The sequence below is a fragment of the Homo sapiens genome, chromosome 10 (genome assembly GCF_000001405.40).
Source record: "Homo sapiens chromosome 10, GRCh38.p14 Primary Assembly".
Classification (NCBI taxonomy): Eukaryota; Metazoa; Chordata; class Mammalia; order Primates; family Hominidae; genus Homo; species Homo sapiens.
In genome coordinates, this window is record NC_000010.11 from 126,318,719 (window position 1) to 126,332,316 (window position 13,598).

General features: G+C 43.6%; 1 protein-coding gene across 5 annotated transcripts in view; it reads right to left on the reverse strand.

The window, feature by feature from the left end:
* ADAM12 (ADAM metallopeptidase domain 12) overlaps positions 1-13,598 on the reverse strand; it is a 376,087-nt gene that overhangs the window by 306,328 nt on the left and 56,161 nt on the right. For all 5 annotated transcript variants that reach the window (NM_001288973.2, NM_003474.6, NM_001288975.2 and 2 more), the window contains exon 2: positions 11,694-11,791. In NM_001288973.2, coding sequence (NP_001275902.1) covers positions 11,694-11,791 — 98 coding nt within the window. The remainder of the gene's footprint in view (positions 1-11,693; positions 11,792-13,598) is intronic.

Below are 13,598 nucleotides of genomic sequence, written 5' to 3' on the forward strand. Positions count from 1 at the left end.
ATTCTAAAGTATAAAATAAATACCTGTATTAGTCTACTCTCACACTGCTAATAAAGACGACCCAAGACTGGGTAATTTTTAAAGGAAGGAGATTTAATTGACTCACAGTTCCACATGGCTGGGGAGGCCTCACAATCATGGCAGAAGGCGAAGGGGAAGCAAGACACATCTTACATGGTGGCAGGCAAGAGAGCATGTTCAGGGGAACTGCCCTTTAAAAAACCAGCAGATCTCGTGAGACTTATTCACTATCATGAGAACAGCATGGGAAAGACCTGCCTCTGTAATTAAATTACCTCCCACCAGGTCCCTCCCACAACATGTGGGGGATTGTGGGAATTACAATTCAAAATAAGATTTGGGTGGGGACACTGCCAAACCATATCAATAACCATAAGACCACATTAATGTCGTTAAATGATTAAAAACATAAATAGGGAGCACAGACAAATCTCACATGCATGAGAATTCCAAATAATGGATGCAGCTACCTCGCCATCCAGGGGTGCAGCGTAACTCCCCACTCCTCAAGTATGGGATGCGCACAGTGACCTCCTTCCAGGCAACACAGCATGGGAAGGGGGAAAAAGGAGCTTTGTAAGTGGAGAAACCCAGCAAACACAACCTCAGCCAGGTGCTGAAGCACCTACAGATAAGACATATGCACAGTATGTCCCCTTGATATGGTGTAACAAGATGGGGAATTTGCCTCTGTGATCTGCTGCCCAAAACAGACAAGCCCAGTCCCATCATGAGAAAAACGCTGGAAAATCCCAGCTGAGGGCCAGTCTATGCCACACCTGATCTCTACTCCCCAAAACCGTCTAGGTCATCAAGGACAAGGAAGGCCCAATAAACCGCCACAACCAAGAGGAGCCTTCAGAGACACGACACTGAACACGATATAATGTGAGGTCCCAGATGAACCATCAGAAAACGAACATTGAGTCAAAGCTAAGAAAATCAGAATAAGGTACGGACATTAGCTCCTAATAATCCACTGATAAGGGCTTGTTAATTGTGACAAGTGTAACAACAGGGGAGACTTGGTGTGAGGTACATGAGAACCATACTATCTTTGCAATTTTTTTATAAATTAAAAATTGTTCTTATATAAAAAGCTTATTTTTAAAGATCTAGCAAGAGCAGTCTTGGGAGGATGGAAGGGTGGGAATTGACTTTTATTCTTCCTTGCCCCAAATCTCTAATGGGCAGATTTCTCTAAACACATGTAGTCTTGGGAGACACGTGTTTCCTTTTGACCATTTACGTGTGGTGCCCACCATGCATTCTCAACGGGGATGAGCAAAATTGGTACTAGGAAGGGGACGAAAACCTTCGCTATTACAAAGGTTTTTACCCTCCAAAGTTTAGCTTAGCACAACCCAATAAAATCTTATTCCTTAGTGTTCAAGTTCTCTTGTTAGAAAGAAACTAAATTTAAATTCATTTAGTTTTTCTCTTTAGGCAGGCGGTAACAAAAAATGCTGGTAAAACACTAGTGTGCACCACCAACAATGCATGTCTTCCTCACATTCTCAGGGACACGTGCAAGACACAAGAGCATGAGGAGTGTCTTAAATATATCCAAAAGGAAATTCTTCCCACAGCGGCTCTCTATGCAGGCATATGTTACATTCTACAACGGTGCTGTAGTCAAGCGTTGTTTTAATATAATTTTATATACGTGGTTGCAGGCACTGTCAGGATAGGTATAAAAATGTTTCTCACTTTTTAGGGAAAGAATAGGAGGATTTAAAAAAATCTGAACTTTACATTTTGGTTGAACAAAAACATCTTCATCACTATCACAACTACTTATTGAGTGATTATTAAGGAACGGTCCTCACTGGTTATATGTTGCAACTTCAAAGAAATTCCACAGTAAACACGTAGATGAAGGCTTCCTCAGCTTTCCTCTGACATAAAATTATAAAGTGCAACATTAATACCATTAAATCTCTTGGGAAGATAAGCTCTTCAGTTTAAAGTAAGATTTTAGAATCCTAATCCTTTCTGGAAGTTATATGTTCTTCCAAATGACCTCAATCCCCAGAATGTTCTCTCTCTTATTAAAAAATGTCAGGCTTAAAAAGAAAAAAATATTGTCACAAATGAACTACACAAAGATAATTGTGAAAAATGGGGAACCAAGGTATGCAGTATATAAAAATTCTCTGTAATGTCTTTGCAATTTTTCAATAAATCCAAAACTTTTTTAAAATAAGTTGTTTATTTTTTAAAATCCCATATGTCTGACTAAGTACTTATTCAAATTTACTACAGTCTGTGAGCTTCTCAAGGGCAGGATTGGGTCCCATTCATCCTTGCTTCCTGGGAACCTGACCTCGGGTCTCAAAGACAACAAGCATTCATACGTCCTTGGGCAAATGTACAACTGAAAACAGAATTCATCAAACTCCTTCTCTCCTAATGTCAAGTAACTATAAGCCCTACATGTCAGTCAAACATAAAAAGCATTACTCAGGATTACAAAAATATATTTTACAATTTCTGTCTCAAGAAGGTAAATCATGATATCTCCTGCATTATCCAAATTTGTTCAGTTATTTTAAAATATGATTTTTTTTTCAAAAGGACCCAGTTTAATGATGATGACAGAAGCTTGTAGGGGAAGGAAAAGGTACAGAATCTAAGACAACCCGATTCAATAAAAACAATTTAAAAGTATGATATTAAGGCCTTGCTAAGAGGTCACAAGAAACAAGCGAGTGGGTGGTGAGTGTTGTTGGAAATGCAGAGCCCTTCCTTGGTTGAATGAGAGCTCCCTAAGCCAGGGACACAGTTGAAACAAGTACAATACCTTGGCCTGCTTTCTCCTCTTTGTGTGTTGGCCAAAAAGGAGGAGTGAACAGGAAAGACCCTGGCAGGGAGTTGGGATGCAACAATCACATCTTGTTGAAGAAAGCCAGATCTCCCTCGGAGGCAAGACAGACAGGGAGGGAGAGAGCGCTGGCGAGTGCTCACCACGTCTGCCCCCTGAACCATGACCTCAGCTGTCTGGAGTCAAGATGTATGAAGCAGTCCTGATATGATGCCCAGGGGAAAGAAAGTTAAAGATTTTTCTGAAAGGTAGCAGAGGAATATGCAAAGAATACTGGATTTCAAATCTGACAGGCCTTGGCCCAGATGCTAGTCTTCTCGCTTAACTTTCTACCTGGGGGTCGGGGGGGGGGCTTCAGCAACCTCATGTGCACAACAGCATCCACCTTGCAGGGCTGCTGGGGGCATCCAGCGAGCTGATATCTATGGAATATCTAGTCTAGGGGTTATAAACTATGGCCCTCGGGCAAAGCCAATGCACTGCCTGTTTTGGTTCAGCCTGCAAGCTAAGACTCATTTCATATTCTAAAATTGTTTAAAAAGATTTTTCATGACACATGAAAATGATACTAAATTCAAATTTCAACGTCCAGTAAGTTTTATTGGAACATAGCCATGCTCATTCATTTATGTATTATCTAGGGCTGCTTCTACGCAACAGCCCAGTTGAGTCGCTTCAGCAGGTATCATTGTGACCTGTGCTGCTGAACATATTTACTGTTCAGCTCTTCCCAGAAAAATCTGCAGAACCCCAGTCTGGCTCCGTCCAAGGCCAAGACGGGGATCCCAGTAACTGCCAGTTTCCTGTCCTTCCACATCTTTTCTCACCGTGCAGTGGTTCTCAACCCGGGGCAATTTTACACCCCAGGGGCCACGTGGCAATGCCTGGAGACATCTGTGACTAGAAGAGGGTGGCGCTGGCATCAGTCAGGTGTATCAGGGATGCTGCTACACATCCAGGAACTCCCAGGCCAGTGCCCTCCCCCCACACACAGCAAAGGCTTATCCAGCCCTGGGGCAGTGATAGGAGGACCCGGTGAGGGACAGGAGAGAGGCTGGCATTTGCTGAGGATCCAGCATGTGTAGGGCATGGCATCAGGTCACAAGGCCACCATCACCATCTCCTTTACAGCTAAGGAAACAAAGCCTGAGCAAGGGCGAATGACAAGCCCAACGCCACACAGCAAGGCAGAGGGAGTCCGAATCCATTTCTGCAGGTTCCAACATCCACGGTTCTTCTCCTCCCACCATGCATGGAAATGATTCTTTAAACAGCTGAGCTCCCAGACAAGATACAAGGGTGCCAGCTTTTACCTCTCCAAATCCTCTCTCCATAATGATGGGTTATATGAGGTCTGGTGCAGGAGTTGGGGCCTCCAGCAGCCTCCTGTGTGGCAGACACAGCTTCATGAGGATTGTCAGGCCAAGGGTGGGGTTGGGGTTCCCACAGAAGGTAAGAAACTGAGTGGGACAGACCATACCCAGGAACCCAGAGAGTCTGGGAACAGTGTTCCAACCATGAGCCACTGTGCATGTCATATGATGATATCTATTCCACAGTAGGTATTTTAGTCATTACATTCTTAAGAGGAAACACCATTGGCTGGCTTGGAAGCTAATGTAAAATAGATGCTTCCTAAGTCTGAAAGGCTAACTATTGAGCCTGTTCAGCCAAGCTGGAGGTGCTACCATCTAGCCTGAGCAACTCCTGCAATTACTCGAATAATCCCTTAGATAAAAAATATAGGTCTGGCTATGTCAACCCACCCATGTAGAGTAACAGCACTGCTCTTGGCACAGAGCTACACTTGGGGCGGTGTCCCAGGTAAGATACCACATAGCACTAAAGTGAAGAAGGTAGCATTCTATCAGCTAGACGCAGCCTCCAAATGATTTTAAAGGACCCAGAGTTGCCAAAAGGAGGTAGGAAACATCTAAAAAGTTGTGGTAGTCAGAGTGGTTTGCAAGGCTCAGGATCCAGGCACGGATAAAGTCTCAGAGTCAGTCAACAAGCATCCTGCAATCACTCCACTCTGTGCCAAGCACTGCACCAAGGTGGAAGGGCACAGAGCTGTGGCTGCTGCCCTGAGGGAGGGCACAGGCTGGTTGGGAGAAGCAGGGATAAAAACTAATAATGATGGTACTCTGTGATCGCGCCAGAGAGCTGAATCCCAAAGTCATGCATGGTTGGGGTCTAAGGCCAGTATAGAAGGTAGAGGTGGCACCTGAGGCACAGTCCAAATTAATCTTTGAAAGCCTCACAGCTTTCATGCTTTTATACAGGTTCAGCATTTCTTCTCCACAGAGCACTGGGGCATTGCTTATTGGGTTGAGCATAGTCGAGTTGGCTTATTTTAGGGGTTGCGCTATTTCATGATATCCAACAGAAAGAACTAGAACTGCTCTTAGGAAGTAAGAAGCTTGCCTCATGAGAGGCAGAAGGAACTAAGAAAACAGCAGATGCCCACATGCTCCTTGGGGACCCAAGGGGATGTGATCACCTATGTCACTTAAGTTGCGTCTCTGCAGCATCTGTTTCTGCCATGTGCAAGGCTGAATTTGCATGAATTAAATGTGTGCATGATATGATTGCACATCACAGAGATGTGGACAACTTATAAAGACAAAGGTATGGGAAGGAAGAATTTGGCCAGGAGGCCAGGGGTTCAGGATGGGTTTCACAAGAGAAGGTGCCATTTAAGAATGAGTGCTTAAGTGGTGCTTCAAGAATGAGTAGGACTGAGGGAGTCAGGGGACATGGGGACAGAACATAGTGCAAGCATGGTGTAAAGAACGTGGCCTATTTAGGCAACTGGCTGCCCTGACAAGCTTCATGGCTAAGATGTAGGGGTGGGGGCTCTAGAGTCCAGATGGCCCAGGCTACCCAGTCCCATGGGCATCATGCTAAGAAGCCTGGCTTTGAATTCAGGTGTCATCCGGGACTTCCGAAGGACTGGAAAGCAGGAAGGGAACAGGTTCTATCTGTGCTTTAGACAGAGTACCCTACCTCCTTTTGTAGAATGGAGGAAGACTAATGAAGGCAGTGGTAGACAGCAGAAAGAAGAAGCACATGTCAGGATACTGGGCCAGTAGAGTTAAGAAGTGTTTCAAACCTTACTATTTCAGGGGAGAAGGAAGATGACAACCTTATCTTCTAGGGACAATTAAATTAAGTGGGAGGCAGAGTCTACGTTGGGGGACAATACATTTGCATAATTGGGAACTTTCAGCTGGAGGTACCTGTAATTGATTGGAAGTAGATGATCAAATCTCAGGGGTCAAAGCAGAATGAGAGGTGTGGATTTTAAGTCAATGCATGCTAGATGACAAAAGCCGAAGTTATTGTTCGTAACACCTGATACAGCGGTTCACACAGTGGGAACTCCACGTGTGGTAGCTCTCACTGCTATTTTCACTTATGTGAGCCCCTAGGTGCAAGTAGACCATGAGGTCACAGTTGAGAGGGACATCACCAGCGGGACCCTTCATCAGAAGTGGGGCCACAAAGAAACTCAGAGGACACCAAGAATGAGGGACAGAGCCAGGAAAGCTAATGAAAAGCAAAAACAAAAACATATGAGAAGAAACATGAGAACGGGGTCTCAGGAGCCCAAAGAAGAGAGGAGTTCAGAGGAGGAGAGGGAATGGGTATCAAGATAAGTAAGATAAAGAGTGAAAGGTGTGTGCTGGCTTTGGAAATTAGGAAGCCATCTCTGACCTTGGCAAAGGCCATTCCAATGACATGTTGGGAATGGGAGCTGCTACCAAGGGTTGGGAGGGAACTGGGGGGAGGCAAGCCAGTGAATGCGGATCACCTTTCTGGGAAGTCTGGCTGTGAAGGAAAGAATGGGGATGGTTATTGGAGGGGAGAGCAGGGCTCCGTTTTCTCAGCTGTAAAAAAAGGCAAATGGAAATGTATGGAGTAGAATGTGCCTCTGTCATTTTAATTAGCTGCTATTTGATATTTGAGACCTGCCATATGCTAAGGGAAGCTTTGGTTTCATGTTCTAATGGGTTTGCCTTCCATTTTCCATTTCTTATACTCTTTCTGTAACTTCATTCTCACTCAAGGAAGCTGGAAATTGGACATTTCCTGAAGTATTCAAAGGCCGAGCTCAAGTGAGGTCATCTCACGATCAATCACATTTTGACATGTCTTCGCTGGTTCCGCGGTTAATTTTTTCAAGACATGAAATTGGAATTTGGTTCCTAAAGACACTGTAAACTTTCAGTGTCACCTTACATTTCTGTAGTAGTGTTAAGTTTCTAGCGTATTTTACAGCCATCGTTTCATCTCATTCTCACAATGACCCTTAGAGGGAGGGAATGCAGATAAGTTTATCCCTGCATTATAGACAACAACCAATGAACAAAAAAGTGCAAGCTCTCCAACACACACAAGGTCACCTCCTTTCCTGTCCCTCTACTCTTTCCACTAAATTATCAGTGGCAGTGATGGCTTGATTCTTGATTTGGAAAGGACATTCTAACATCCCATTCAGAAAGAAAGAGACAGAGAACTTGACAGTAATTTTACCTAAATCAGCCGAATCGACTTGACCAGCAATCTGGCATTGGATGCAGCATCAATTTCCCCAAGTGGATCTAAGCCTTGGGTGCTCACTAAAATCACCGGGGAGTATTTTTTTTTTTTTTAAGAAATCTGCATGGACCTGCCTCAAACCATTTAAATTAACTCTCAACAACTGGAGGTTGAACACTGTTATTTGTAAAAGTTTCTGGGTGATTCTAAAATGCAGCTAGGGTGAGAACCAGTATACATAGTAAGTCAATGACGTGGTGAACACCAAATTAGACAGGGGGTCCTTTCTCTTTGGGGGTGTATATGATGGAAGCTCCTGCCACCTATGTAGCCAGGGCCAAAACACAGGGGTTGTCCTTAACACCTTGAATCCACGGGCAAGTCCAACAAACTTTCCCTTCAAAGTACGTCTCCAGTCCAATCGCTTCTGGTGCTGTCCGTGGTCAGAGTGTGGACGCCTCCCTCTCCTTCCTGGACAGTTGCACTGGATTCCCCATGGCTCTCCTCATTTCCATTCAGGGCCCTACACTGCAGTCTGGGCACAGCTGTCAGAGGTCACTGTTAAAACTCACTTGCACGTCCTGCTCCAAGCCCCCAGGAACCTTCTCATGGCTGTTCTACCTTGTCAGGGCCCTGCTCACCTCTCTACACGCTCCCTCTTTGGCTCCCTCTGTCGCTGTTTCCTCGGCCTGGATGCTCTTCCCCAGAACTCCACATGGCAGGCTCACCCTTCATGTCATTTAGGTCACCTTCAGATGTCACCTCCACAGAGAGGCCTTTCCTGACCACCCTCAGGGCAGAGATGCAGCTCCAGCACCAGGTGCATGGCAGGCACATAATCCAGATTTGGGAATGAGTCACTGAACCCCCAGGAACTTGTTACCACTTTTTAGCCCAAAGTGCTTTGAGACAAAGCACAGCGGGGCAGGTGACCAGGCTGCCTGAGGTCACAGGGGTGGCCCCATGCTATGGCACCATAGGATGAAGAAGAATGCACATGAGGAGAGAATGGAGGGACAGTCAGAGCCCCGGAGCCATGGCGTGGGGCTGTGGTTAGTGCCTCTGGGTCACAGAGCGACGTGCCTTTCATGCCAAGCCTAGAGTTTGTCTTCACACTCTAGGATGCGGATGTGAGGAATGCCTCTGAGGTTTTCAAGGAAAATCATGATGAGTTAGATCTTCATTTTAGGAAAACAGTTGTGGAAATCTGTCCGGAAGAAAGCCAGAAAGGATGTGACTTGGAATTTGAGGCCCCCTTTCTTTAGGTTCCCATGGCATTCCCAGCCAGAAATTGCTGGCCAAACTTCCAGATCTGGCTTACTGGACTTGCCATGGCCATCAGATAAAATGTTTAAGAGTTAGGGATTTCTGGCAGGGCACAGTGGTTCAGCCTATAATCCCAGCACTTGGGGAGATCGAGACAGGAGGATTGCTTGAGCCCAGGAGTTTGAGACCAGCTTAGGTGACAAAGGAGGCCTGTCTCCTACCCCCTCCCCACCCCCTCATCTCTACCAAAATAAATAAATAAATAATAATACGAAGAAATCAAAAAGCTAGGCATTTCTGTATAAATAAGGAATGTGTTTCATGGTTGTGAACACTGCATGTCACCTCTGGGGAAAAAGAGTCACAAAAAATTAATGTTATGATTTGGTAAGTCATATAAAATCAGAATATTTACCAGAGAAAGAAGGTCACAGTTTATGTCGCTATCTCAGGGTGAATGTCTGTTTCCTACAGGCTACTACTTCCACAGTGAGTTCACACATGGGAGGAGCCCTGTGGGAAATCTTGGCCCCTGTTGCTCCCGCATCACTCCAAGTCTGTCTTATTTTCCATGCTCTAGACACACCTGCCTCCTCCCTGCTCCTCCAGCCTCTTACACTCTGGCTCTTCTCATGGCTGGCTCTTTAGAACTTATTGAAAAAACTATCTTTCCTTCTTAGAAAGGGCTTTCCTGGCCAAACTATCAAAATCCATCTTCCCTGCTGGCCCCTAGAATACTTTGTTGTTTTTTTCTTAACACTTATCACAATGTGAATTTATTTAATTATGTTTCCCTTACTGCAACGTAAGTTGCAGGTGGCAGAAAGCGTGTCTGCCTTCTGCATTGGCTGTATGCCTAGCACCTGGCACATAATAGGTGCTTAGTTAAAAACTGGCTGAACAGAAAGAGGCAAGGAGTGAGAAGCAAATCTAAAAGTCTATATTCTGAGGCACAGCAGGCACCGTTGTTCTGCAAAAATATTCTTCACGTGAGTATGTTTTGTATACTGAAGATATACTGCATGATTCAGTTCAAAATGAAAATCTTGACTTACTGGTAATGAGGACAGATACACACATACACACCTTTGGCCAGAATGCCTATTCCCACAGCATGTATACACGTCTTCCCCATGGGGAATTCCTGCAAACAGGTACACACACGTAACAGACATTGACATGCACCACTCCTCACACAAGCTTTCGGGGTTACCCACCAAATATGAGTACATATTGTAATTTTATGGCCATACACTGATGCCATAAACTATATGTTGAGATGAGCCCACTGGCATTACAACAAAATGCTGTTCCCAACTTACCTAAGTCATCATGCCCCTACATAACGTCACTAACCTGGAATTCTTTAGTGCAGTAGGTGTATGCCTGTCACCCACAGGGCTCTCATTCTGGAGACAGAAACCCAGAAGAGTTGGGACAGCTACCTAATAATCATGGTTCTTCCTAGTCTTCTAAAAGATGATGCTTGTGACCCACAAGCACCAGGTGGTAAGCTTGGCCAGCAGTAGATGTGCCAGTCCCTCCTCCAACATGCCTTGTGATGTCTGCCAGGTGGCTGGAGGGTAGGAAGGAGGAAGCTGGGGGTCACAAACCAGAGAAGGCCTGAGCTGGTCCACCCCAGCGGCAGGCCCATAGCCCTCAGCAGCTTGTCCCTCCGATTCCCTCCAGGGAAGGTTGTCAGAAACAAGACAGGACACATTCAGTTAAATGTGCATTTCAGATAAGCAACAAATACTTAAAAAAAAAAAAAGTATGTCCCAAATATTGCACGAGACATATTTACACTAAAATTAAATACATTGTTTATTTGAAATCCAAATTTAACCAGGCATTCTGTACTTCTAACTTGCTAAATCTGGCAACTCTAACCCCAGGGAAAGTCTACATAATGGCTCCCAACATCCAAGAAACTTTAGATTATTCCATATTTTTCTATTATTCATGTATATCAATATTTTAAATCAACTTCTTTATAACGAAAGCCCACTCCTCTTTTACTGTATCTATTATGTTGTTTTTAATTTTGCTGACCAATAGCATGATGGAATTTTCTTTAATATCTTAAGTTTTTCTTCCAGAAAATATCAACACCACTATACTTGACTTGTACCTTGTATATTCAATTTGCAACAATGTCTGTGAAACAACAAAGTTAGAAAAAATGTGCACATTTGGCATTTGGGCCTTTTAATCAAACCACCAACCTTTCTAAAAGCTCAGTTTCCAAGGTAAGCTCCCTAGATGGAAATCACCTTATCATTACTCATATAAAGGTGGCCCACTGCAACCATTCCAGGAAGTGACAGAGGATGTTCACAATCTCAACTGCTCTTCAAAAAATCTGCTATTATGAAAAATGATCTAAAAATAGTTCTATATAATGCAAGGACCAAGCCATCTGTATGATCTCTTCAAAGAGCTCATATTTCCATAGATTTTTATCACTTTCCAACTGTTCCTACAAGCACTGAAATTTAAGAAAGTCATGTCAGTTTAGCAGATAAAACGCACCAAGATATTAAATTTAATCACTATTATTTCAATTATTTTATATTATTCTTTTACATCATAAAAGGCTCAAATCAAACATGTCAAAGTAAATAAAGTTTAGATTGCATTAAAACTCATGACAAATGGGTTTTTAAGTTGCATAAATATATTTCTAGCAATAATCAATTCGAGGAAATCAATGTTAATTAAATAGACATAAATATAGAAAAATGCCCATCATTCATTCAGTTAAACTGAACATGGAAGTTGTATATCTGGGACTGTAACCCCTGGTTTTTGTTCAAAAACTAATTTTCAGTAGATGCAAATAATGTTGGATCCCTCATCAGCACTGTCACATCAAAATTGGTTTGCATATTTTTGGCTTAAGAATAAAGCTTCCATTCTCTAAGGATAGAGTTAGCATTAAAGTGAGTAGAGACAACCCTTGAATGAGAGAATACCAAAGCAGCTAATGTGATTTAAAAGCTTCGGCAGTCTCAAAGCTGAGAAAAGGAGAGGAACTCACCTTGGAGTCGAAGCTCTTCACTGGGATCCAGAGGTCCCCACTCCCAACAGAGGCACTGACAACTTCATCAGCTCTTCCTTGGTTCCATAAGCTCACCCCTGAATCAAAAGGAAAACAGCCCTATATTTCACTCTAGTCAGGAAGAGTTTGGCATCAGAAGCTTATTACATAAATGACACAGTGAAAATATTTGGAAGTTAAATAAGCCCAGGGAAACACTAGAACCCATTAAGTCATGAAAAGTGTTAAAACTGCTGAATTCTCTGTCAATCTAACCATGAAAATTTTGTAACTTAAAGAAAACAAAAGTTAATTAATTTGTTCCTTCAAGACCTGTAACATGTGCTGGGGTATTATCATAGACAAGATATATAATTCAGTCCTTCAACAAGCAACAAAAATGCAAAAGTGACTTTTTTGAAATGATGAATTGATACTTTATTTAGGATCTGCTCTGTATTAAAAGTCACATGGCTTTAGCTGTATTAAGACTAAATCCATTTATTTAAGTCCCAGTGAATCTGTTAAACATAATGCCAATTCTCCTCTCTGCACTTATGGAGTCTAATTTTATATGCTTTAGTAAGTGATTCTATAGACAAAATTAATTTTCCAGTTCAGACTGACTAGACTGGTTTATGTTTTAAAAAAATCAAGTCATTCAATAAACTATTATATGATCTTGTTTCTTGGGGTCCTGTCTGTTGAACCAGTTAATATACCAACACAGGTTCAATTTAGACCCATTTCCATAAACAATCCTCACGGAAAGTATAACATTTTTCTCTTCTGGAGGGTGTATCACTTTCTCAACAAATACGCTAATTTCTCTGGACTTGCTCTCCTATGAGGTCATGCTCCTGCTATTTGGTTCGACCACAGTATATCCCTCAAGGTGAAGGATGGGACCAGATTCCCTCACATGTTATTCCCATTTCTTCAAGCAGGACTCATAATTTTCAGACCTGAGTCATAATAGCACAGTTTTAAGTTACTAAAGAGTTCACATTTATTGGGCACAAATGGTATTGAAATTTTAATCCTAGACATTTTACAGTTCCCCAAATACTTTTAAATCCACACCATTTTATCATGCTCAATGTGGAAGTCTGCAGTTATATTCAGGTTACCAAAGGATTACTACTCCCGTAGTCACTGTCTGAAACAGCCTCTGAGAAATTCTCAAGCTGGTCACAGAGTGTTTAAAACTCTCAGGTGTTGAGGACCAAGAGGACAAGGAACAGGAATGAACTGAAAGTCCGAAATACAGCCAATGGGAGAGGGCTGAGCTGCAACCCTCGACCGCATGGGGAAGGAAGGAGGGAGGGGACTATGGGCCCAGGACGTGTGGTCTTCAGGGTGTGGATGGGCTGAGTCTTCAGGGATGAACCTGCATTCAAGCGAGAAGGGTTCTGGCAGAGCAAGTGGAGGTGCTGGCTCTGATGGTGATATCTGTGACACCCGTGAACGGCTGCTTGGAGGTGAAAAGAGTCGACTCTCTGAATGGGAAGCATCAGAAGTCCTTCTCCTGGCTGCAAGGGTGCAACCACTGGCAGCATGGAGATCTTGAGTAAGTGTGTCTCCCTCCTCCTGTCGCTTGAGCCCATGCCTTCCATGTGCTCAAAGGCAGAATAGCCCAGGCTTTGGAGGAAGACGCACCCTGCAGCAGCACCAGCTCTACCACACATCAGCTGCGGGGCCACGGGCCAGTTGTGTCCCACGTGTTTACTCACCACTCACCAAGTATTCAACTGTCTACCTGGTGACAGGCACTCTTGTCAGTGACTCTAGATCTGATGCCTTCTATTCAAAAAGCCCATTCTTTCTTCTTCAAGCCAGCAGCCCCAAAGTGAGCCAGCTCCCTCCGTCTATACTGCTGAGACCCTCATCTCTTGAACACAGCTT